General features: G+C 38.7%; 1 protein-coding gene and 1 long non-coding RNA gene across 58 annotated transcripts in view, besides 4 other annotated features; one reads left to right on the forward strand and one right to left on the reverse strand.

Moving 5' to 3' along the window:
• Nucleotides 1-21,490, reverse strand: part of NRXN3-AS3 (NRXN3 antisense RNA 3) — a 35,483-nt gene extending 13,993 nt beyond the window's left edge. Inside the window, exons 1-3 of one of the 2 annotated variants that reach the window (XR_007064281.1) lie at nt 21,423-21,490; nt 20,565-20,678; nt 51-117 (exon numbers count right to left, since the gene is read on the reverse strand). This is a non-coding gene — a long non-coding RNA (NRXN3 antisense RNA 3). Of the gene's footprint in view, nt 1-50; nt 118-20,564; nt 20,782-21,422 lie in introns of those variants that run through there. The other variant, XR_001751001.3, reaches the window with a different exon arrangement.
• Nucleotides 1-24,499, forward strand: part of NRXN3 (neurexin 3) — a 1,697,919-nt gene that overhangs the window by 1,441,341 nt on the left and 232,079 nt on the right. The window lies entirely within an intron of this gene.
• Nucleotides 4,065-4,234: an enhancer, noted in NCBI's record as "experimental_37450 CRE fragment used in MPRA reporter constructs". NCBI's record gives its function as "activates a minimal promoter by MPRAs in K562 erythroleukemia cells, with activity observed for both the introgressed and non-introgressed 14:80082206 variant alleles {active_cell/tissue: K562}" and the evidence as "EXISTENCE:reporter gene assay evidence [ECO:0000049][PMID:34662402]".
• Nucleotides 17,683-19,254: an enhancer, noted in NCBI's record as "VISTA enhancer hs1369". NCBI's record gives its function as "enhancer in: neural tube[4/8]" and the evidence as "EXISTENCE:transgenic organism evidence [ECO:0001131][PMID:17130149]".
• Nucleotides 19,241-19,742: an enhancer, noted in NCBI's record as "H3K4me1 hESC enhancer chr14:80097297-80097798 (GRCh37/hg19 assembly coordinates)". NCBI's record gives its function as "activates a minimal SCP1, AML or CMV promoter by ChIP-STARR-seq in primed H9 embryonic stem cells {active_cell/tissue: H9 hESC(primed)}" and the evidence as "EXISTENCE:reporter gene assay evidence [ECO:0000049][PMID:30033119]".
• Nucleotides 19,743-20,242: an enhancer, noted in NCBI's record as "H3K4me1 hESC enhancer chr14:80097799-80098298 (GRCh37/hg19 assembly coordinates)". NCBI's record gives its function as "activates a minimal SCP1, AML or CMV promoter by ChIP-STARR-seq in primed H9 embryonic stem cells {active_cell/tissue: H9 hESC(primed)}" and the evidence as "EXISTENCE:reporter gene assay evidence [ECO:0000049][PMID:30033119]".

The following is a 24,499-nucleotide window of genomic DNA, read 5'->3' on the forward strand; positions in this document are numbered from 1 at the left end:
TTCAGAAAGCATTATTGTTCAGTGGTTTCAAGTTTTGGATGTGCACTCACATTGCCTGTATGGAATCCTGGCTCCACAAGTAGTTGTGTGAGATTGGGAAAGTTGCACTTGTTTAATCTGTAAAATGGAAAATATCTGAGGATTAAATTAAAATATAGCTGGATCATGCATAGCATAATACTTGGAATATACTAAGTCATGAATAAATAGTACTGTTGTCATTTCTTTGACATTAATTATTAAGGCAATTAGGAAATTTTCCATCTAGTTAACATATAGCAAATCAAACTAAGCTGTGAAAAATATATAATATGCTATGGTAATAAGACACTGAACTGTGATGCTATTATTGGGGTCTGTCTAAATCCACAGAAGCATCAGAAATTCACATAAATCAATGCTAATGTCAATGCCTAGTAAATTATAGTCTCAGAAACATGAAGATTCTAGATGTTTTCCCCTTCTTTGCACACTTTGTTTATATTTCACCCTATTACTATTATCACCTATATTTATGGTTTTTCAATCATTTGTGAGTGCTTGGAGGAAATTCATTGGTTCAGCAGTTGAACCAGGGTATTGAATAGTACATGAGGACTCTCAGACTCTGAAGAGCTGGTCGGGTGTCTCTGGCTAACACATTTCCAGTGGATAAAGAGCTGCTCCAGGGACATCTCCTTCCTCTGCAGTACAGTGATCTTTTTGCTGGTGACTAGAAAGTCCAGGGGAAAGGACAGCCAGCCAAAGGGTGGCAAACTGATGGAAAGTGGGGGCAAGCTTTCTGTAACCATGTAAAAGAAACTGCCAATTCCCATGAAAATCCATTGTCTCTTTTTCTTATTAACAAATCCCCAACAAGCCACCATGGCTCAAGCCTGTAATCACAGCATTTTAGGAGGCTGAAGCAAGAGAATTGCTTGGGGCCGGGAGTTTGAGACCATCCTGGGCAACACAGTGAGGCATGCATCTCTACATAAAAATTTTACAATTAGTCTAGTGTGGTGGCACATGCCTGTAGTCCCAGCTACTCAGGAGGCTGAGGTGGATCGCTTGAGCCAGGAGTTCAAGGCTGCAGTGAACTAGGATCAAGCCACTGCACTGCAGCCTAACTGACAGAGCAAAATCCTGTCTCTAAAATAATAATAATTTTAAAATAAAAATAAAATGCTAAAATGAACCAAATCTCCAATTTTATTTGAAATAACACTGCCTTAGTTTTTTAAGAAAGAAAATAAAACATTTCTCACCTTTTCTAACAGTCAAGCTGGTATGTTGCTTTAAGTTTGGTGAGTGTCAGGTATGCAAAAGTGTTGAGTGGCAGATACAGAAAGACTGCTTAAAGGCATCTGACTCAGTTGCAAAGGACATCCTTTGTCCTTCTTGCTGCCTGTACTATGAATGTAGTGGTTGGATCTTCAGAAGCCTATTTAATCATAAGGTAATCTTAAAGATGGAAGTTATGATTAAGAATGCCAGAACACAAAGATAAAAAATATAGAAGTCTCAGATGAAATTTCTGAATCAGCCTTAAACTATAATGCTTAAACTGTTTAAATGTGAAGGGATAAAATTTGGGGCATTTATGCCACTATTTTATGTTATCGTTGTTACAGTGAGTACAATTTTTAATTGGTATGTGTGTAAGATTTGCTCAGATCTCAATCAATGGTTCTAAGAGGAAAAAGCTTAATTCCAAGCTGCCTCTCTCCTGTCTATGATATCCCAAGCATCACAAAGTACACTTCCAGCTCCTCAGACCCTGTCCTTGTTTTGCATTGTTTAGCCAAACCACTTCTTAACTTCAAGTAGCAAATAGATAACTCACATTAGCATTAGGTTCTCTTATTACAAGTAATTGACAAGAATTGTACCAGTGATTAGGTGTTGCCCAAAGATCTTTTAAAATTCCATGTGACCCAAATACTACCAAATCCTAAAAGATTTAACTAACTGGCTCACTAACCAATGCACACACATACTTACTTATTTCACCCAGTATGTGTTGACTACCTTTTGCCCACCAGGAGCTAGGCAGGTTCACAGTGCCTAGCTCCCAGGCACAAAGATAAATCAGAAACCATTCTGTCTAAGTCAACCTTTCATTTTAGCTTAGCAGGAAACACACTAAACCACGGCTGAAATATGCCAGGAAGTTGGTAGCTGGTGATGCCTCTACCACACCGCAGTGCGGTTAATCCAGCATTCGACTTAGTCGAAATCACTTTTTTCTTCCAATACTGGCATTTTTATGGATGGATGGATGGATAGATGAATATCAGTATCAAAAGGTCCATGCTTTATTTTCTAATAACAATTCATGTCCAATTATCTGACTGCCAGCACAGTTATCTGCTATGGTTGTTAGAAACTTTAGAAAGAAGTAAATCCTCCAAAATTGTCACTCTTAAAATCTGAGAGAAAACAGAATGAATAGATAAGAGATGCTTCAAGGCAGTTCAGCTCTGTGATGGTTCCGTTGAGATAGAACACACATATACAAAGTGTTTGAAGTAAGAATTTCCTTCGAGGAGAAGCACAAAGGGAATAGAAGACCCAGCATTTGTTACTGGCCTTAGATAAGCTTACTGTTCACTTATTTATCAATGTAAAAACGCCCAGTTAGTTTTTAGCTCAAGGAAGAGAGGACATGGCCAAAGATGGCCTTCATGAACTTTTTTTTTTCCTGTGTGAAGTATGGAAACTCATTTTCAGTATTGGATTTTGACTGGATTGTCTTCTACCCAGAAGCTGGCTCTGCAGAAGTTATGATCAGATCTTTGGAAGTAACATTTGATCTACCGCCGAATATAGATCCCCTTCCTTCCCTCTTCTACTCCCTCCTTGCTTTTCCTTCTTATTACACTGATTTCATGCAAAATTAATTATCAGTCCTGTCACATCTTGCACTGCTAACAGTGGTCAGTATTGAATTATGGGGAACGTGAACAGAATTTTCAGCAGCCTAATTGCTTCTCCTGTGCCCAGCAAAATGTTACGTTAAATACTCACAGCAAGTAGACTAGACTGTATTCTATTTCCATAACAAACTGGCGGGATTTCATTACCAGAATCCCTAGCATCTACTCACATGACTCTTTCCTAACTGCCCTATCAGACTGGTCTTGGATAAAGTAAATTCCTTTCCAAAGCTGCAGCTGCCTAGTTAGGTATTGAAATATTGTATCCACTTGCAGGTCAAAAAGGAAAAAATAACAACAACAGCAAGTGGTCCATGAGAGTGAAGTGGAGGTATTAAAACTAGGCTGGGTCTTCTCTTGGAAGATGACAGACTGAGTCCCACAGTGCCTCACTCCATTCAAAGCAATTAGGAGTGTAGGATTGCAGTGACAACGGATCTCCAGGGCTATCATAGTGCTTTACCTAAAGATAACAAGAGATTAGCCCTTAGTGACAGATGACTAATATATTCTGTGGACACTGACTGAGAGTTTGGGAGTTTCTACTGTCCCTCTCAAGGAGCTTAGAGAATATGTACACGGGAAGACAAAAATTAAAGAAATAAATGTAATGCACTGTATAATGCATAATGATAAATGCATCTTCAAGGTACCTAAGTAATTTAGAAGATATTGCAGTGGGAGAAGAGTACTGAGATATTCACCAAATTCCTACCAGAAAAAATAACACTTGAGTTGGCTGATGAAGGTTGACTAGGAGTTCATTAGACATAGTAGAGAAAGTCATTTTAGAAAAAATGATAATAACCAGCTTTGATTGAGAGCTCAATTTTGCTTGTCCTTTTTGGAAGTGTACTGTATGTATGTATTAGTCCATTTTCACATTGCTATAAAAAACTGTCCAAGACTGGGTAATTTATAAAGGAAAGAGGTTTAATTGACCCACAGTTCTACATGGCTGGGAAGGCCTCAGGAAACTTACAATCATGGTGGAAGGGGAAACAAACACATCCTTCTTCACATGGCAGCAGGAGAGGGAAGTGCAGAGTGAAGGGGGGAAAAGCCCCGTATAGAACCATCAGCTCTCATGAGAACTCATTCACTATCAAAAGAACTGCTTGGGGAACCGTCCCCATGATCCAGTCACATCCCACTGGTTCCCTCCTACAATACGTGGGGATTATGGGAACTATAGTTCAAGATGAGATTTGGGTGGGGACACAGCCAAATCATATCAATGTATTAAAACAGTTAATCTTTATAGTGATAGTGATTCTTTGAGGTATTATTCCCATCTTAAGAATGAGGAAACTGAGGCACTGAGAGGTTAACTCACAGCTAGTAAGTAAGAGAGCAAGAATTCATACCCAGCAGTATGAAGAAGTGAAGGATGAGTTGGGAATACAGAACTTGATCATTGAGAGTCATACTAGTCACACCAAGGAAGTTAGAGTTAATCAATTGACAACGGGGAGCTCTTGAAAAGAACTGACAAGGTCAGATTTGCATTTTAGAAATATTGTTGTGGAAACAGAAGGATTGATTAGAAGGAAGCCAGAACTGGAGCCTGGAAAGTTGGCTACATGGCTTTCACAGTAATCCAGGAAGGGGATGATGGAAGAGAGGCTGCAGCATGGGAGCAACAGCTGGAGTGAAGAAGAGAGGATATGTGTGGGAAATCTTTAAGGGGTACATTTGGCACAACTAGGTGATAGACAGAAGTGATGGGTGGGGAGTAGAATTGGTGAATCTACTCTTCTAACTGCCTTTCCCTATCTCCAGTCTCACCAAGTATCTTGAATTAGGAAGCAAGGAAAAGGGGTCAATTAAGAAAAAGGGAGAGCAAGGTTAATGGAGAACAGGCTCAAGAAGGAAGAATTTAAAAATGGAATAAGGCAAGAGAGGATAAAGAAACTACCTATGGAGTGCTATGCTTGTTACCTGGGTAGCAAAATAATCTGTACACCAAATCCCCATGACATGTGATTTACCTGTATACCAAACCTGCACATGTATCCCTGAACCTGAAATAAAAGTTTAAAAAAATAGAATGAGTTAAGAGATTTGGTAATCTTGAGAAATGTCTGTAAAGTGTCCATGTATTCCATGGGTTCAATGGGGATCTGCCATTGAAATTCATAGACCTGAATATCAGAGAAGGGTAGAAGATTAGAGAATTTGCTGTTTGGATAGTCGAACTCCTTCTTTCATAGATGAGGAAAGTAAAGTCTAGAGAAATTGGAGAGACTTGTGTTATATCACTTAGTTTGTTACAGAGCTGAATTCATACCACCCATTTCCATGTGCCCTCAAATAGTAGCCGACCTCTTCCTTCCTGGGAGAGAATCCTTAACCACCAAGTCCTGATCTCATAGGCCTGATAGTCAATCCTTGGAAGGGATACTGTGGTGCATTGCTTAGATCCGTCCCACTTAACCCTGGGACCCACATACTCACTCACCAACCTGCTGGGAGTGCTGGTCACTGACCTGTCTCAACTAGGTTGACTCCAGGAATTGCTCTCTGCTAAAGGATTTTTTCTGTTTCAGGGATATACCAAAATGAAAAAATAAAAATTTTATATAAAGAGCGTTTGTTGCCTGGGTTGTATGCCTGTAGAATACATTCAGAGGTAGAATTACTGTTTCAATAGTATTAATAAATTTTTACCCAATGGCTTTTCAAAAGTGTGCATCCCCAATGGCTTTTCAAAAGTGGGCATCAATACACACTTAGAAATATGCAGTAGGATCAATTTCACCAATTATCTCACCATCTTTTTAGAAGCTAATTCATTTTGCATTCTTAAATTCCACTAAATTTCAAGAGAGCAGTTAAAGAATAATACAAAACTTTGAAGCACTAAATGTATATATTTAAGATATTATGTCTTCTGTAGTCAATGGCAAATATCAAGAATAGAGAAGATGCACAAAACTGACCAGTAGCAGAAACAGAGATCCACATTCTAATCTCACGTCTTTCTACTTTGGTTAAAGGCAATAATTCCTATTTCACTCACTGATGAGTCTTTCCCTAACGAGAATGTGACTAAAACCAGTTGAGTTTGCGAAAGGGATGTAGAAAGAGACAATTAGGTAAAGGTGAAAAATGAGACTGACGAAGTGACGTTGGTCAATCTCCTGTTTACTGAGTGCAGGTTAGGAAATAACATCAACTAGGTTTTCTGGAATTTGAGAACTGAGTATTATAAAAACACTGACTCCGTTATTATTATTATTGTCATTTTTAATTTTGGATTCAGAGATAGGAGCTGAATAGCAGCAAAAAAAAAAAAAAACATGCTTATGAAGAGCTGCCTAGTGAAAATGACACTCCTTTGGCTTAGGAAGAGAAAGAAAATGAAAGCCTTACTTCTTTCTTCTACTGATTGAAGTTTTTACTTTCTGCTGTTTACTTGGGTTTTTAATATTGAAGACTTCTTTGTAGTCTCTGATGAGTTTTGAAGATTAATTTTGCAGAAGTAAGATAATATTCCTGTTTACCAGAAATATTTCTGACCATAAGACTCATTATTTATTTATTATGGATGGTCATTTTATATATTTTTAATGCTTATTTAAGACTCCGGAGTACATGTGCAGGCTTGTTACATGGATAGATTGTGTGCCACTGAAATTTGGTGTAAGAATGATCCCCTCATCATTCTTAGCATAGTAGTCAATAGTCAGGTTTTCAAGCCTCAACCCTTCCCTCCCCCTCTAGTAATCCCCAGTGTCTATTGTTGACATATTTATGTTCATGAGTACTCATAGTTTAGCTTGCAATTACAAGTGAGAATATGTGGTATTTGGTTTTCTGTTCCTACATCAATTCACTTAGGGTAATTGCCTCCAGGTGCATCCATGTTACTGAAAAGAACATGATTTCATTCATTTTTCTTTTCTGTGGCTGTGTAGTATTCCATGGTGTACATGTACCATATTGTTTTTATCCAATCCACCATTGATAGGCACCTAGGTTGATTCTATGTCTTTGCTATTGTGAATAGTGCTGCAGTGAACATACAAGTGCATGTATCTTTTTTGGTAAAATAATTTGTATTCCTTTGGGTATAAACCTAGTAATGGAATTGCTGAGTTGAATGGTAATACCATTTTAAGTTCTTTTGGAAATCTCCAAACTGCTTTCAACAGTGTCTGAACTAATGTACATTCTCACCAACAGTGTAGCTTTCCCTTTCCTCTGCAACCTTTCCAACATCTGTTTTTTTGTTTGTTTGTTTTTCACTTTTTAGTAATAGCCGTTCTGACTGGTGTGAGATGATATCTCATTGCAGTTTTGGTTTGCATTTCTCTAACTAGTGATATTGATCACTTTTTCATGTAATTGTTGGCTGCATGTATGTCTTCTTTTGAGAAGTGTCCGTTCATATTCTTTGCCTATTTTTAATGGAGTTATTTGATTTTTGTGTTGAATTGTTTAAGTTTCTTACGGATTCTAGATATTAGGTGTATTTTAAATGCATAGTTTACAAATATTTTCTCCCATTCTCTAGGTTATCTGCTTACTCTATTGATAGTTTCTTTTGCTGTGCAAAAAGTCTTTAGTTTAATTAGGTCCCACTTAGCAATTTTTGTTTTTGTGGTAATTGCTTTTGGAGATTTAGTTGTGCATTCTTTGCCAAGGCCAACGTTCTAAATGGTATTTCCTAGGTTTCCTTCTAGGATTTTTATGATTTTTAGGTCTCACATTTAAGTTTTCAATCTATCTTAAATAATATTTGTATATGGTGAGAGGTGTAGGGGTCCAGTTTCAATCTTCTGCATATGGCTAGCTAGTTATCCCAGCAATATTTGTTGAATAGTAGCGAGTCCTTTCCCCATTGCTTGTGACCATGAGATTTTATGTGATGTTGAAACCCAAAACTACCCAAAGGAATTAACTACTGCTGGTTAATTGTACCTATATTAAACACTTTCTTTATAGTATTTTCCTTATTTGGGGGCCATCTCAAAGTCCTAACAATCAGAATTTGTGTCTTCTCATATGATTTTTACTCAGAATTACACAGAATACAGTATTCATAAAAATGAACCAACCATAAAATATTTATTCTTCTACTGTGTCAGGTAGTCTTGTAGGTTCCTAAGAGATACCAAATACAGGTTCATAATTCTTGTCCTCGAAGATCTCCCAATCTACTGATAAAGCAAGTACCATATGCATGAAAAGATAAATGTCTTTATAAAGTTTCTTAATCATGAGTGCCCATTTGAGTGGTCTGTGGGTTTTTAGAAGTTATTCACAGAAACGAGGCTCCTTAGTTCTGACATGGGGACCATTTGTTTTTATTTTCAAAAAGCTCTATGAAGTGATTTGGATGTAAACCTCTGAAAAGAAGTTATTGTCTTAAATATTCATGGGAGGCTAGGCCTACTTGCATCTGGAGTTGGCTCCAGAAGTCTTTACAAAGTTAGCTTGGCATTGGCTGGGTTTCAAAGAATAAATAGAAGGGGATAAACCAAGAAGAAATGTGGATATATATGGGGCACGATTGAATAATTTCCAGAAAGAAATCAGATAGTACAAGGAGTGTCCAGAGAATGATGTATATGGCTGAAATGGAAGTGTTATAGAATGGTAGTTAGTAATAAAGCTTTAATATCACAAGCATATTGAAACAAATTGCATGTAAAACACTGATGTAATAAAAAGATTTAGATTGTTGGAGTATTTTGATGTCAAGTACTTGTCTTCCTGGTGATGTGAAACCATGCATATGTGTTTTAAGTAGAAATGTGACTCCATGGGAAAACATGTAAGAACATGAGCAAAGATGGATGAGAATAGGGTGAGTGTGAAGGGAAAACTTATTAGGATGCTAGTTCTCTGAGGTTATAAAGACCATAAGGTAGTGGCATTGGAGTACAATAAAAAGATGACGACATTTTAAAGGAAGAACCTCCCTGGCAGCATGGCTGAATAGACCTGGGAAGAAAGAGAATTTATGCCTGAATGAATGGAAAACTGATGATTTTGTATCTCAAAGTGGATAATTTATTTAGAGGCAACTGGCTTTGGAGGAAAGAGAAAATGAGGGGTTTTCTAATGTTTGAGATGATAGAGAAACAGGCAAGCATAGATACTTTGGAGGCAGTTGGATATGTAGCATTGGAGTCAAAGGCCAAGTAAGAGGTAGAGAAAGAGATTTTGGAGAACTTCTCATGGAGGAAATACTTGAAGTCTGGAGAATGGATGAGACCTGAAGGGAATAAGATATGTAGATAGAGACAAAAGTTGAAGGGTAACACTCAGACTTTGGGGGAGATCTACATTTAGGAAGTAGGAGGAGAAAAGTAAAGGCACAGTAAGAAAAAGAAAGATTCAACTAAAGAAAAGGCCAAAAAAAGTGTAACCCACAGAGAAAAGAGCATTTCTGGGGCTAAGGAGTGATCAACACTATCAAAATACTACAGGTAAACTAGTAAAACAAGTAATGTCAGCATTAGTTTCCTTGTCTGCATAACAATAATAGTTATTATGAGGTATTTTTGTGAATAAACTGAAATGATGACTATTAAGCATTTAGCCCAAGGCTAGGTAAAAGAAAAGGCTAGCCAAAAGCATCTGTTATTATAAATATAATAATTACTAATCAGCACCCAACTATGCCGGGCACTTTTGTAGTTACACATTTGAATAAGATGCAACCCTCAATTTCAAAGAGGTAAGTGTCAATACAAAGATAAAGATGTGAAGAATAGATAGATACCATTTTGTGGTATTGTTTCTACAAGAAAGATGTAAATACAATGGAAAAGGTGCCAGTGGAGAAAAGTGATAACTTTATGAGTCCTTTGCCAGACATAAGTGATAGGGTTTTCTGTACATATTACATGTTATTCTTAGACTTGTGCAATTTGCTAAGCCAGTTTATAGACTCTTGAATCTGTGTAATTGCTATGTTCTTGACTCAAACCTGAAGGGACAGACTCTTGGGAGGGAATAGCCAGGTTCAGCCTTTTATCTTTCTTCTGTGCACAGAACTCTTGCTTACTTTCTCCACCATGGGTAAATCAGAATGGCTTTGAACAATGAGCATTTTCTGCAGCCTGAGCAGCAGTTGCTCTTTAGACCCAATTTACAAATTAGGAAAAACAAATAAATTATTTATAGCATGACAAAAATAGGATTTGGCTTAATCCAACAGCTTTCTCAGTTACAATGCTTGCTGCTCAAGTAATGGATCAATTCACAGTTGGCTAAATCCAGGTGTTTTTGAACCTTTCTATTTAAAGTATGGTTCTCTGACCAGCAGCATGGAGATCCCTTGGATATTTGTTTCAAATGTAGAATCTCAAGCCCCACTCCAAACTTAACTGGATAAGAATCTGCGTTCTGTCAACAACTTTAGAGGCACTGTATGCAGATTGAGAGGCACTGGGCTAGAATACTGAATTAGGGCTGAGGAACATCATCACATTCTCCACGCTGTCCCAGTATACTGTTGGATGATGTCAGAGCAACGTGAAAGGATTTTGGGTTATGGTTTAGCTCATAGTCCATGCAGAAGAGGCCATAATTAGCACAGGGTACCATGGCACTTCTCATCTGAGACATGTGACATGGATTTGCACAGATGAGTACTTCTGACCTATTAATGTTAGTAGTAGAAGTGATCCTTTTGTCAGTGGAAAAAGCTGCCAGACTCAGAAGCAAGTAAAACCTGAAGAATCTTTTAGAACTGTTAGTCAAGAACTTCATAGGTGGTTTATATAAAATTTATTGTCACTTGCTAACTGCATGGCTTTCGGCATTTCTTAACCTTTCTAAACTTCAATCTTTTCATTCATGGAACGTAGATAATTATTGTACCTGTATGACAGGGTCAATGAAAGGTTAAATGAGTGAAGATACATAAAGTAGTTAGCACAGGATCTGGGATTTAGTGAGGGCCCAGATACTACTTGTCTGTTATTATTTAGTTTATTTAGTTTATTTTTATTTATTTATTTATTTGAGACAGAGTCTCACTCTGTCACCCAGGCTGGAGTGTAATGGCGCAATCTCGGCTCACTGCAACCTCCGCCTCCCAGGTTCAAGGGATTCTCCTGCCTCAGCCTCCTGAGTAGCTGGGACTACAGGCATGTGACACCACGCCCGGCTAACTTTTTGTATTTTTAGTAGAGATGGGGTTTCACCGTGTTAGCCAGGATGGTCTCGATTTCCTGACCTCGTGATCCACCTGCCTCGGCCTCCCAAAGTGCTGGGATTACAGGCGTGAGCCACCGCACCCGGCCTATTACTTAGTTTATTATTATTTCATTATTATTGAGTATCTATTATTTGATCTTTTATGTAATAATAGTGAAATAATAGACTTCTGAATATTTGCAGAGAAATCCAATAATTTTAAGTGATATTGGCAAATACTATGATATTAGAAATCTAGGTGGTACTTAGGAATCTATTTTCTTAGTCTCTATTCTGTGGCCAGGGAAACTCTTTATTCCTTTTGTCCCTGCTATATTTGAGACAAAGATCTTGAATGCATCCACTCTTCCCTAAGGAAATGCCATCAACTCATCATCCCCATACCATGCAAATGCCTTTTACAGCTGCAGAGCAGGTGTGGGCAGATGCATACAGCAGCATATGAACACATGTTTACCCTCCTTGGCCACACTTTGTCTTACTCTATGTTTTCTAGGAACACATTTTGGGGTGGAAATGCCTTTATTCCATTTATATTTAGTCAATTATCTGGTTTAGCTTCCATTCTTACAACCTAATTAAATTCAGCCCATCAACTCAGTTTAAGGCATAGCAGCTGTAGACACTTCGTTTATCTACTTGGAGAGAAAAAAGATAAGTTGGTACAGGGGTTCCCCATCTTGTGAATGCAATTCCCATTCAACTACATGCAATTGAATATGAGCATGGGATGGTATTCTGGACCTAATGTTAAATTCTGCTACTAAGCTATCATAGTTGAAATAATATACTCAACTGCAACTTTACATATTTTCCAGGGAAATGCAAATGATTGCTTTTAAAGGAATGACAACTCATTTGCCTGCAGATTTCATTCAGGATATTTAATTCTGAACTACTAGCCTATCACCCATTAACTGCCATTTCTAATATCTTTTGACTCCCTCAAAGAGGGAAACTCATAATTTGTTTCACTTAGAATTTACATTTTTTTAATATTCTAGAAACCATGAAAGAAATCACTGAGTCCTTAGCTCCTGTTTTTTTTTTTTTTTTTTTTGGTTGTTGTTAAATTGTAGAATATTAGAATGTTTCAGTTTTACTGATTGTATTTGTTAATCATTCTTCTTCCACTACCGTTGTCTTTTCCCATCCTCTTGGAAGGGTGTTAGAGAAGACTCTATATCTCACCTACAGATGATTTCACCTAGAAGCTTAGCCTCCCTTCATGACTACTGTTAAAGATAAAGACTGCCTTTGGTTGACACCATAACCCACAAGAAATGATTGCATTCCTCCTGGATGGGGAGCAGGTGACATTGCAGATGTTACACTTCCCACATGGCTAAGCCACTGATCGAGATTAAAAATTCAAAAGACACCAAAGAGCCACGTTATTGTCCCCTCACAGGGAGCTCTAGAAATACATGACCTAAATTGTTTCTTCTAAGCATATTATCAGTTCCATTTTCAAGGTATCAACATGATATCTTTCCATTGGTTCACAGGAAGACCAAAGAGTGACAAGAGAAAAATGTTTCCATTTGTAGTTTTTCTACAGACTCATGGTATAGGTCAGCTTTTTTATTGTAAATATTTAAGATGTACATTTAAGGTGTCTCCATATATGTATATATATATATATGTATACATAGTGAAATTACTAGTAGAGTCAAGAAAATTAACATATCCATCATCTCAGTTACCTTTGTTGTCATAACGGCACATAAAAATCTACTCTCTTAGCAAATTTCCATGATACAATACAGTAGTAGTAACTATAGTTATCATGCTGTACCTTAAGTCTCTAGATATTCGTTCTACATAATTGTAACTTTGTACCCTTTAACCTATATCTCCCCATCTCCTCTTCCACTGCATCTGGTAACCAACTTTCTACTCTGTGTTACTATGTATTTGACTGTTTATTAGTGTCGACTTAGGAGTGAGATCAAACTCTTTCACTCTCTCTTTCTTTCCCGTTTTTTTTTTTGTTTGTTTTTGTTTTTTTTTAAACAAGATCTCACACTGTTGCCCAGGCTGGAGTACAGTCACATGATTCCAGCTCACTGCAGCCTCAACTTCCCAGGCTCCAGGGATTCTGTCACATCAGTGTCCTTAGTAGCTGAGACTACAGGCATCCACCACCACACCTGGCTAATTGTTTGTTGTAGAGATGAGGTCTCACTATGTTTCCCAGGTTGGTCTCCAACTCCTGAGCTCAAGTGATTCTCCCACCTCAGCCTCCCAAAGTGCTGGAATTATGGTGCGAGCCACTGCTCCTGGCCTCTACAGTATTTTTCTTGCTGTGTCTGGCTTATTTCACTTAGCATAATTTCTTCTGGGTCCAATCATGTTGTTGCAAATGGCAAGATCTCCTTCTTTTTAAGACTAAATAATATGCCATTTAATATGTACATCTACCACAATGTCTTTATTCCTTTAGCATGAGGAGAATATTGAACATTACTTTGAGAACTAGAAAAAAATGAACATGTGGGTTATTTTAGTGGTTAAAAAAAATAGGAAAATAACTATAAAGACATGAACCAACTATCAGGGGATGTTTGGGTTGTTTCCATATCTTAGCTATTGTAAAAAATACAAGAAAGAACAGACATCTCTATGGGGTGCTTATTTCATTTCCTCTGGGTATACCCAGAAGAACAATTGCTAGATAATATGGTAGTTCTAGTTCTAATTGTTTGAGGAGCAGCCATTCTGATGTTATAATGGCTGCACCTATTTATATTCCCACTAACAGTGTACAGGCATTCCCTGAACTTCACTCTATATTTTATTTCCCAAATGAGATGGAAGTACATGGAATAAAGTAGTATTCAAGCCAGTTTAGTCTTCACATTCTAAATCACCCCTCTATGAAACCTCTCCAGATTACCTTTTCTCCCCATGTGGATCTGAATATGCTCCTTTATTCCCAGTTGTCCTGTATGTATCCAGTTTTACAGACATAGCATCTGTAAAGGACACTGTTGTCTTACACCGAAGTGTAGCAGTTAAGAACTCAGGGTTTGCACCTTTCCAGCTCTGTAGACTTGGGCCGGCAACTGAGCCTCTTTCACCCATAGTTTCTTTATCTAGAAAACAGGAGTGATGCATGTCTCATAGGACCGGTGTAAGGATTAAATGAATTGTAACTAGAAAATTGTTGGGAAATACCAAATATAATTATATAATGACTAGCCTCTGTAGGTATAAACAGTTTAATTACTTATAAGTTTACATGTCTGCTTATATTAAAGAGGGAAAGACTTAGACTGTAGTTCATTTTCATGTCTCTGTAACACAGCACTCTGTTTAGTAGTTACATAAATAGTGATTGAATGAATGTACAAGTGAGTGAATAATCATCTCAAGTCTATCCTTTGTCAAGGAAAATTTCCAGATAGAGTTCTTTCTCCTTTAGGGGGTCTTTAAGATGGTCCCAGTGCCAGCCCAAGAAGAGCCAGAGCTAGATCTTCAAGGCAGTCTGGGACCTGGATCCTCCCCTCCAGATGCCTAGAGGTATCTCCTGGGACCATGATGGGTCTCAGTCATACCCCTTCATTCATTGGTTCATGTCTTCATAGTCATTTTCTTTTTTTTTTTTTAAACCACTGAAATAACCCTCATTGTTTGTCATTATTTCTAATACTCAATGTAGTTTTAAATTTTCTCCCCATGCTCAAGAAGAGAAATGGAAATATGGCAAACATCTCCATGAACCCACATTTTCTCACATCTTTAGATCAAAAACTCTTATTCTTCAGATAAACAGGTTGTAAAATTTTCAGTGTTGAAGAGAATGAAATATGACATTTGATTTTATTGATTCATTGCTTATTTTTGGCAGAAGTTATCCTTTATTCAGTTTCATCTCTTTATGTCTTACCACCTCTTTGTGAACTAGCCACTTGCCTTGAGGGTTTACAAATTCAAGATTTCTCAGCACGATTAGCCCTAATAGTATGCTTTCCTTCCAAGGTTTCCAGATTATCCAATACAGTATTATTTCTATCCCAATCATGTTTAAGGATTATTATTTTACATAGAAATAAATAAAGAAAGGGGAACCAATACAAAGTGTTAGAAAGACAGCTACGATTAATATATTGGACTGGCCCATTATCAGACCCTCTAGATTTTACAGGTAGCTTTCTGATCAGAAATCTCGGGTGAGAAATAGTAAGAATGATGGCCTTAGTTAAATCCTCTATCAATATGACAGGTTAAAAAAAAGACATATGAGTTAGTTAAAAGCACCTCTCCCTTGGTAACTCTAAGTGTTTTAGTTTTTCAGATGGCAATTTGTGACTTTCTATAGCTTTTTCTTGAGATGAATTTGTGGACCAGTTGAATAGTGATAGAAATACAGGACTTGCTAAAAATTACAAAGTGTTTATGGCAGTTCTGGCAAATATCCTCTAGATCACCAGATAATGCCAAGTCAGCAATATTATCAATAATGAGTTGCCTACTAAGAACCAGGGGAATGGGGGCATGGACTGAAACTTTACCATAGACATCTTTGCTATTCTGGACTGTTGGTTTGCTTCCTAGTGTACTTCTGCTTATCCTTTCTTCCCTTTGGCTTCATTGAGATCCTCAGCCACTGAGTTCTATCTTGGTGCATTCCAGCCACACCCCAAAAGAATAACAAGAATGAATAAGCCATCCATCTCTGAATGTAGAGCAGGTTGGAAAATGATAACCTTATTCATTATTATTGCTTGATACATTTCCGAATTTGTGTTATCTGTCATTAAATAGCTACCACAGCCTTCTTTCATTCTTCTCGGTATCAGTTTAATAATTTGTTCAATGAATATGAGAAAGAACAGGATCACATCCAGATTTTACCACTTACTGGCTGTGTGACACTGGGTATGGTTATTAACCCCATGGAACCTCATCTTTAAAGTTCAGATGATGGTAACTAACTCATGAGGTTGCTAGGGATTAAATGAAGTACCATGTTTAAGGCTTCTGGCGTGGGTGCTGAGATATAGCAGATAAGAGATGGTAGTCAAAAAGAATGTGTCTTACTTTTTTTATAGTATATAGAGTGACAATTTTCAATACAAATAGTGTCTGTATATATGCAGTCTTAACACGGCATTTTAAAATTTCATTGTAGACTTTAAAAAACCTAACAAATTGGATTTCAGCCTCTTTCTTACTATATTAGAAAATAAAAGAAGATTAAAATAAAAAAAGGTTTCCTTTTAATCAATCTATTAATAAAAAGATAAGTACTGAGATTCCGTTGACATAAAAGTAATTGAAAGTTTATAGGCAAATTCTTGAAATAGAAAGGCACTTTTTTTCCTCATAAGAGGACAGTTTAGAGGATTTAAAAAGCAATCAAAGGTCTCATGTTTTATATGATCAATTCAAATTGACTGAATTTTCATCATCATCCTCCTCCCTCCTTCTTTCTGATAGTCTACATTTGTGGAATAGAGAGATTTTTGTCTTTCAAATTCTAACCCTGAGGATTTTTGCTAGGCACAAGTTAAGACCTGTATTGTTTTCTCCTAACAGTTCCTATGACATTTTTAAAGTATTTACTTTATTCTAGTATGTCCATTCTGTTGATCTTCGAAGGACCTGTGTCTCTAGGTGACATCTGTATTCAACCAATTTTGAAGACTCTTCTGATTGGATTTAGCAGGAGATTTGTAGAGTGTGGGGCTTTGACTAGGCCCAGGTCCTTTGCCAGCCAGGCATAGTTTGTCCTTGTGAGGGCAGATATTGGAAAGGTGGAGGAGAATTATGTTCTATGGCACTTTCAGAAGCTCGAGAATACCTTGGCAGAGCCAAGCCTTCTGCTTAGGGAATGGCTAGCAGTAACAAAGCATGGTACCTGAGATCAGGTACATAGTCAAGAGTTAGGTTGAAAGTCGAATATTAACCTGAAAAAGGAAGATTTGGCAGCACAGTGTATCTTACAGTCCCAGGAAAAGAGCCAGTTGACATGTTCTGTGAGACTTCAGAAAACTGTACGACGTGAAAGTAGAAGCATTTCTAATCATAGTTATATTTTGAGTAATCTCTTCACAGTAGAATGAGTCCCCCAACACTGGATGTACTAAAGCCAAAGGAAGGGCCACCACTTTTCAGAGTTATTGAAGGAATTCACCCATCAGATATGTTTTGATTTTATTCAGTGATTGTTCAAACTAGATCCGTTTCTCTACCTTATTTTCAATGGGCAGTGGTTCTCTAGTTCATCAAAAAGTTTTTCCTCTGGAATTTTTGAGAAGCAATAGAAATCCAGAGCATTTAAAGGTGATGATTAATTAGTATATTAATCTTAGATAAATGTCCCCAGATAATTTTTAAATGATCAAATTTGTATCAAAGACATTATTTATTTTAGCATCATTTTGATTTCTTCTACTTTGTTGCTGGGGTTGGGGTAAAAGAGGGAGAAATGGAGACCATATATAATTCCGAAATGAAAAAAAATAAGCAACAATACACTGAATTTTCTTAGAGTAAACATAATGCTATGCTGGGTTGTTATAGCATTTACAATGCTCATCTTCCCTTACACTTGAATGACTTCCTCCTGGATCTGAAACACCTTCCTCAAGAGCATCATCACAGGACTGTTAAAAATCCTAACATGTTACAATTTTACTACCTTTCTTCTTCCAGTATTCCAGCTTGGAGACTTTGCGTAGCCCTGGTTAATTAATGTTGAACTTTTCAGGGTATCTGTGAATCATGGTGGGGGGTAGGGTTGGGGACTAGAATTTAATTAAAGGCACAAGCTTCATGGGGATTGTGAAATCACAGATTCCAAAAGGGAGACAGCCATTCTAGGGAGACTGCTAATAGGGAGTAAGCAGGGTGACAAAGTGTGCAGGAACTGAAGGAAGATGACATTCAAAGGTCTAAACAGGGGAGAAGAAAAACAAAGAGATCAGCATGTTACAGCTGAGCCTTTTCAAATGCACGGTGATAAAGAACAGATATGTTTTGTGTGTGTGTATGTGCGTGTGTGTGTGCGTGTGTGTGTGTGTGTGCGTGTGTGTGTGTTATGCACAGTGGCTTGAAGGTAGCAGCCCTTTCCCCTGATAGAAATTTGATGATGGCAGCAACAAAACCTAAACAGAGAATAATTAAAGAGTAAGGGGGTAGTTAATGAAATGAAAATAACTTTAAAAGGATGAAAAGAAATTGTTGTTAACACACCATGTGGTTTACCTATGAACCTAGCTGCTGTGGAAACATAATAACACAGAGTCAGCTCCTGCAATGCAAGTAAGCCACTTCCTGGGTAGAAATGGGGCTCTTCGGAAAAAGATTAACTTTTCTGTCCACAGGGGTATTATTTAGCTCACTGGAATAGCAATTTGACAAATGGTGCCTTTATGGCCCAAGTGAATACTGCTGGTTTCTGCTAAAAGGGCAGGTGCTACAAACCCAAGAAGAAAAACATTCTTGCATACTTGCCCCCCTCAGCATAAGGACAACTTTGAGCCTGTTCATTTTTGAGAGTTCCAGCAGTGGAAAGAAAGCTCTAAGGTTTGGTAACCTGTGACTCACAGAGAGCAGAATTTCAAGCCTAGTTGAGAAAACATTCCTTCAAGAGGGTGCTGCTTATCTGCTTTGGCCACGTTGGATTTTGGAATCTTAACTGTTCTTGTCACTTTGGTCCTGGTTCAAGTCAAAAGAGTTTCTTCTACTTGGGACTTGAATTAGGTGAAGACTGACGGACATTTATTTACGTACCAAAATACACAACATATGTGTTGCAGTTAGTTCCTCCTTACAGAGGAACTGGTAAGCACTTTAGCCAGGTAGGGCTAAGGCAATTTTCACAGTTCTGACTGTATGAGGATTCCTGTTTCTTTGTTGTCCTATTTTATGCATCATCCACTGATTCTCATCTAAACCCCAGGCCATTTTGCGTGAAAATAGTCCTTCTATAAATAAAAAATTTAGACCAGAGGCAAAGGAGCCTCCATCTCTCTGCTTACAATTATTGCTCAATGTTCAAAGTTCTCAAGACTTATCTCTTCCTATTGCAATCCCTAATATACCCGTATATAGATACATTTAGGTCTGAGAATGCTTGAGCTTAAAGAGAGTAAGTTCTTGTTTGGTACAAGCTCTGCATAATACGTCTGAGCTGTCTCCCTGCTTTAGAATGCAGTGGTAGAAGTTTTTTTTACAGCACTCTGATTTTAGCCAAGGAACTAACAACCGTTGTGTAATGCACTAGCTAAAATAGTCTCCTTTATCGTGTAAAAGTCATCCATTGACTCATTTATTTATTTACCAAGTGCCTACTATGTTTCAGAAAGGGTTGTAAAGGGAACAGCTAAGACAAGGTCCTTGTCCTCATGCATGTCATACTCTAATGAGAGGAGACAGATCATACTTTAATTGGTAAATTATAGTCAATTGCCAACAGCAGTAAGTGCTAGAGAGGAAAGGACCAGAATAAGGGTAGGAGGTACTTTTGAGAGGTGACAACGTGCTAGCAGCCCTCGCTCGCTCTTGGCGCCTCCTCGGCCTCAGCGTCTGCTCTGGCTGCGCTGGAAGAGCCCTTCAGTCCGCCGCGGCGCTGTGGGGGCCCCTCTCTGGGGCTGGCCAAGGCCTGCCCTCTGCTGGCGGGGAGGTGTGGAGAGACAGGCAGAGGTGGGAGTCGGGGCTGCACTGGGCGCTCGCTGGCAGGCAAGGGTTCGGGCTCCGTGGCCCCGCACTGGGCGCAGCCGGCTGATGCCTGCTGGGCTTGAAAAGGGACGAGCTCCCTCTGGGCTGCCGGAGTGCCCGTGCTAGGTTCCAAAGTCGCCAGTGAGTGCCACTGAGAGGTGAAGCCGGCTGGGCTTTTGGGTGGAGTGGGGACCTGGACAACTTTTCTGTCTAGCTAAAGGTTTGTAAACACCCAATCAGCACTCTGTGTCTAGCTAAAGGTTTGTAAACGCACCAATCAGCACTCTGTGTCTAGCTAAAGGTTTGTAAACGTACCAATCAGTGCTCTGCATCTAGCTAATCAGGTAGGGGACTTGGAGACCTTTTCTGTCTAGCTAAAGGATTGTAAATGCACCAATCAGCACTCTGTGTCTAGCTAAAGGTTTGTAAATGCACCAATCAGCTCTCTGTCAAAACGGACCAATCAGCTCTCTGTAAAATGGACCAATCAGCAGGAGGTCGGTAGGGCCAGATAAGGAAATAAAAGCAGGCCACCTGAGCCAGCAGCGGCATCCTGGTGGGTCTCCTTCCACACTGTGGAAGCTTTGTTCTTTCACTCTTTACAATAAATCTTGCTGCTACTCACTCTTAGGGTCTGTGCCGCCTTTATGAGCTGTAACACTCACCGCGAAGGTCTGCAGCTTCACTCCTGAAGCCAGCCAGACCACGAATCCACCAGAAGGAAGAAACTCTGAACATGTCCGAACATCGGAAGGAACAAACTCCAGATACACCATCTTTAAGAACTGTAACACTCACCGCGAGGGTCCACGGCTTCATTCTTGAAGTCAGCGAGACCAAGAGCCCACCAATTCTGGACACACTTCGAGTAGTGTGGTTGGAGAAGGTCCTTGGGAGAAGACAACATCACACCTGAAATAAGAGAGATTAGAAGGAGCCAGTGATAACAGACCTGGAAGAAGGGAATTCAGGACAGAGGGAGCAGAAGGCTCTAACGTGGAAACAAGAAGGCCAGAGTACCCAGAGCAGAATGAGAAGGGGATTCCTAATCAGGAAGGAATCATATGTGGTTGTTCACTGAGAGCAATCATTGACAGTCTCACCCATGTTCTACAAAATTTCACTTCATGATTAAAACAAATTATATCTCTGTCTTTGCCTAAGACGTGTATTAAATAACAGCAATACAAATAATAAACATATTAAGTCCATTCTGTGTTCTAGTCACAATATTAAGTATTTTATATATATTATTTAATCTTCACATTACTGCTAAGAAGCAGTGATAAAACCAAGATTTTAAAATATTAACCAATTTCTCAAGACTAAACACAGCTAGTAAGTTGCACGACCTGGATCAATTCTCCATTGGCTTGTTTCCAAAGCCACAGGTTTACTTTAACATATACAGCTTTTATAGCACTAACATTGTGTTCTATGTGTCCGTCATTAAGTTGGGTATTTTACACACATTATCTTAATATATAAAACAATTATATGCAGCAGATGTTATTACCATGATACTGCAAATAAGAAAACTGAGAAATAGAACATTCAAGGGATTTGCTCACAGCCAAATAATAGTAATTGGCAGTGTTAGGATTTAGACTGATTTCTGTGTGATCTGTAGTCCATTCTGTTCAACACTACATGTACCTGCCTTCCCGTGGTATCATTGCCCCAGTTCTGAAACCTAGGTCTAGGTCGCAGGAGAACTAGCTTGATAAGGATGGGCTTTAGAGCCAAAATTTAAGCCATGCTTTGTCTTATCTGCATAATTTTATGTTCCCAGTCAGGTAAAACCTTACCCATTTATCTTTATTTCCTATCAAATGCAGACTTCCCTATGAGCTGTTGCTTGGTAAGTTCCAACCCAATATGATGTCACCACTGGGTGGACCTCTATGGCACCTGTCTCACTCTGCCTTGGTTCCAGTTATTTTTGTATATGCTTCATTGATTATTTCTACTCACTTCCCGGAAATGTTCCCTTTCCCTGAGAAATGGAGTTGTATCTCCCTCATTGATGCATCCTCTGTAACATCTAGCTGTTTAATGTGTCACTCAGAATAAGTGCTCAATAAATATTTATCAAAGTAGCTGATGTTTCAGGAAGTCTAGGAAGCAAACCACCTCTTCTGTTCTGCTCTTGGATTCAAGAACTTAAGAGGATTTTGTTGGAAATCCACAAAGAATATTTTAAACGAGACACATAATAAGACTCTCTTTTGAGATGAGAGAAACCAACAACAGCAAAAGATGGGTGGTAACAGAACGGTGCTGTTTGCTGCCAGCTGATGTTCTTCTTGCCTCCTGGAAAGATAGAGCCAGAAGTCTTCCATCACTTCTTGGGATGAGCCAACTGGCCTGTTTTAACCTATATTACTTGAGTTTTGGCTACCAAAACTCTAAGCATTCACATGGGCCCCCACGAAGCTCTGCCATCTGACACTTTCAGCACCTTCAACTCTATCCAGTCTCACTCCTGCTGTACTAACAAACATTCCATAAACACAAAACCAAAACCACTTAAAAAAAAAAATCTTAGGCTGTCCCTACAACTTTTGCTATCCTCACGAAAGAGTGTTACTCCAGTGAGACAAAAGTCCATCACAAGAAATGATTTTTCTACGGAAACAGCTGTGATTGGAGCAAGATACAAGGTAAAACATGTTGTGGTCAAGTTCAAGGAGAAAACAGGGTGGCTAGCCCTAGCAATCCTACTGGTGGACTTACTTCTGCACACTTCATGCTACTATCTATCCTGTGTTGTCTAAGGCTATATAATGTCGAGAGACGGGCTAGTCCAGGAATCATGACAGCAAATGAGGGAGAGAGAGAGAGAGAGAGGAGACAGAGAGATGGCTCTTGCAACCTTTCCAATAGCTTTTGATAGGTTACGTATGGAAAAAGCCTCATATTGACATCAGGTTTACTTAGGTTCAAGTGAAAATAATGTCTTTAAAATAAATTATCTCTTTTGATGAAGGAAGTCCTTTTTGTTTTTTGATACCATGTTGCTTTTGGGAAAACATGCCTGAAAGTAGGCAAGTTTCTCTAAAGCAAGAACTGTAAAACTCACAGAAACATAAAGTTGACTTGATCATGCCCATTTTATAAATAAAGGAATGGAGACTCAAAGCGGTTAAGGGACATGTCTGCAGTATTTTACCCGTGAGCTATATGCCCTCTGGGTTTCTCCTCATCCATCTGCCCCCAACAACTATGCTCTTTCCTCTTTCCTTTACTGTTTCTGGGCATATCAAAGCCAAACTTAACAGCACCAATTTCACATTAAACAAAAGAAGAGGAACCTACTGACCAACCTTTCCCCATCGCCACCACGTCTAGCCTCGCCAGACTCTGGTAATCATTACACTACTCTGTAATTCTAAGATCGACCTTTTTAGATTCCATATATGAGTGAGATCTTGAGGTATTTGTCCGTCTGTGTTTGGTTTATTTCATTTAACATAATGCTCTCTAGGTTTACCTTTGCTGCAAATGATGTTCTGGTGTTCTGTTGCACAGTAGGGTAACTAGAGTTAACAATAATATATTGTGTCATTCAAAATAGCTAGAAGAGAGAATTTTGAATATTCTCACCACAAAGAAATGACAAGTGTTAGAGGTGATAGATATGCTAATTGCCCAGATTTGATCATTATACAATATACACAGGTATGGAAACATCACATTGTACCCCATAAGTATGCACAATGATTATGTGTCAATTAAAAACAAAATAAAACATAAACAGGAGAGAAACATGAGCTAAAAAGAAAACCAGTAAGCAAATGCACTAGCTGAATCAGATCATTTTATGCCTCTTGATCGGACTTTGATGGTGGGAACATCAGGCTACAACTCTTGCCTGAATCCACAGACATGGAAGGCAAGAGAAATTATTTAAGCCTATGCAATCATCCAGGAATGGAAAGTGGGAATGGGGTTCACCAAACGTACTAGTTTTCTAGGGCTGTTGTAACAAAGTGTCACAAACTGGGTGGCTTCAAACAAGACTTATTTTTTTCCTATTCTAAATGCTAGAAGTCTATAATAAAGCCAGGGCCACATTCCTGCTGAAGACTGTAGAATCCTTCCTTGCCTCTTCATAGCTTCTGGTATGTGCCATCCACCTTTGGTGTTCCTTGGCTTGCAACTGCATCACTCTAATCTCTGCCTGTGTCATCAAATGGCGTTTTCCCTGTGTGTCTGTATTTGTCTGTTCTCATGCTGCTTTGAAGAAATACTGGAGACTGGATAATTCATAAAGGAAAGAGGTTTCATTGACTCGCAATTCCACATGGCTGGGAAGGCCTCAGGAAACTCAAAATCATGGTGGAAGGGGAAGCAAACACATCCTTCTTCACATGGAAGCAGGAGATAGAAGTGCAGACCAAAGGGGGGAAATGGCCCTTATGGAACCATGAGATCTCATGAGAACTCACTATCATGAGAACAGCATGGGGGAAACTGCCACCAAGACCCAGTGACTCCTTACTGGGTCCCTCCCATGACATGTAGGGATTATGGGAACTACTATTCAAGATGAGATTTGGGTAGGGACAACCACATCACTGTCTGTCTTCACATGGTGTTTCTTTCTTCTTATAGGAACACCAATCATTTTGAGTTAGGATGCATTCTAATGACATTATATTCGTTTGATTACATCTATAAAGATCCTATTTCCAACTAAGGCCACATTTGCAAGTACTAGGGATTAGGAC

This window comes from Homo sapiens, chromosome 14, assembly GCF_000001405.40.
Source record: "Homo sapiens chromosome 14, GRCh38.p14 Primary Assembly".
NCBI lineage: Eukaryota > Metazoa > Chordata > Mammalia > Primates > Hominidae > Homo > Homo sapiens.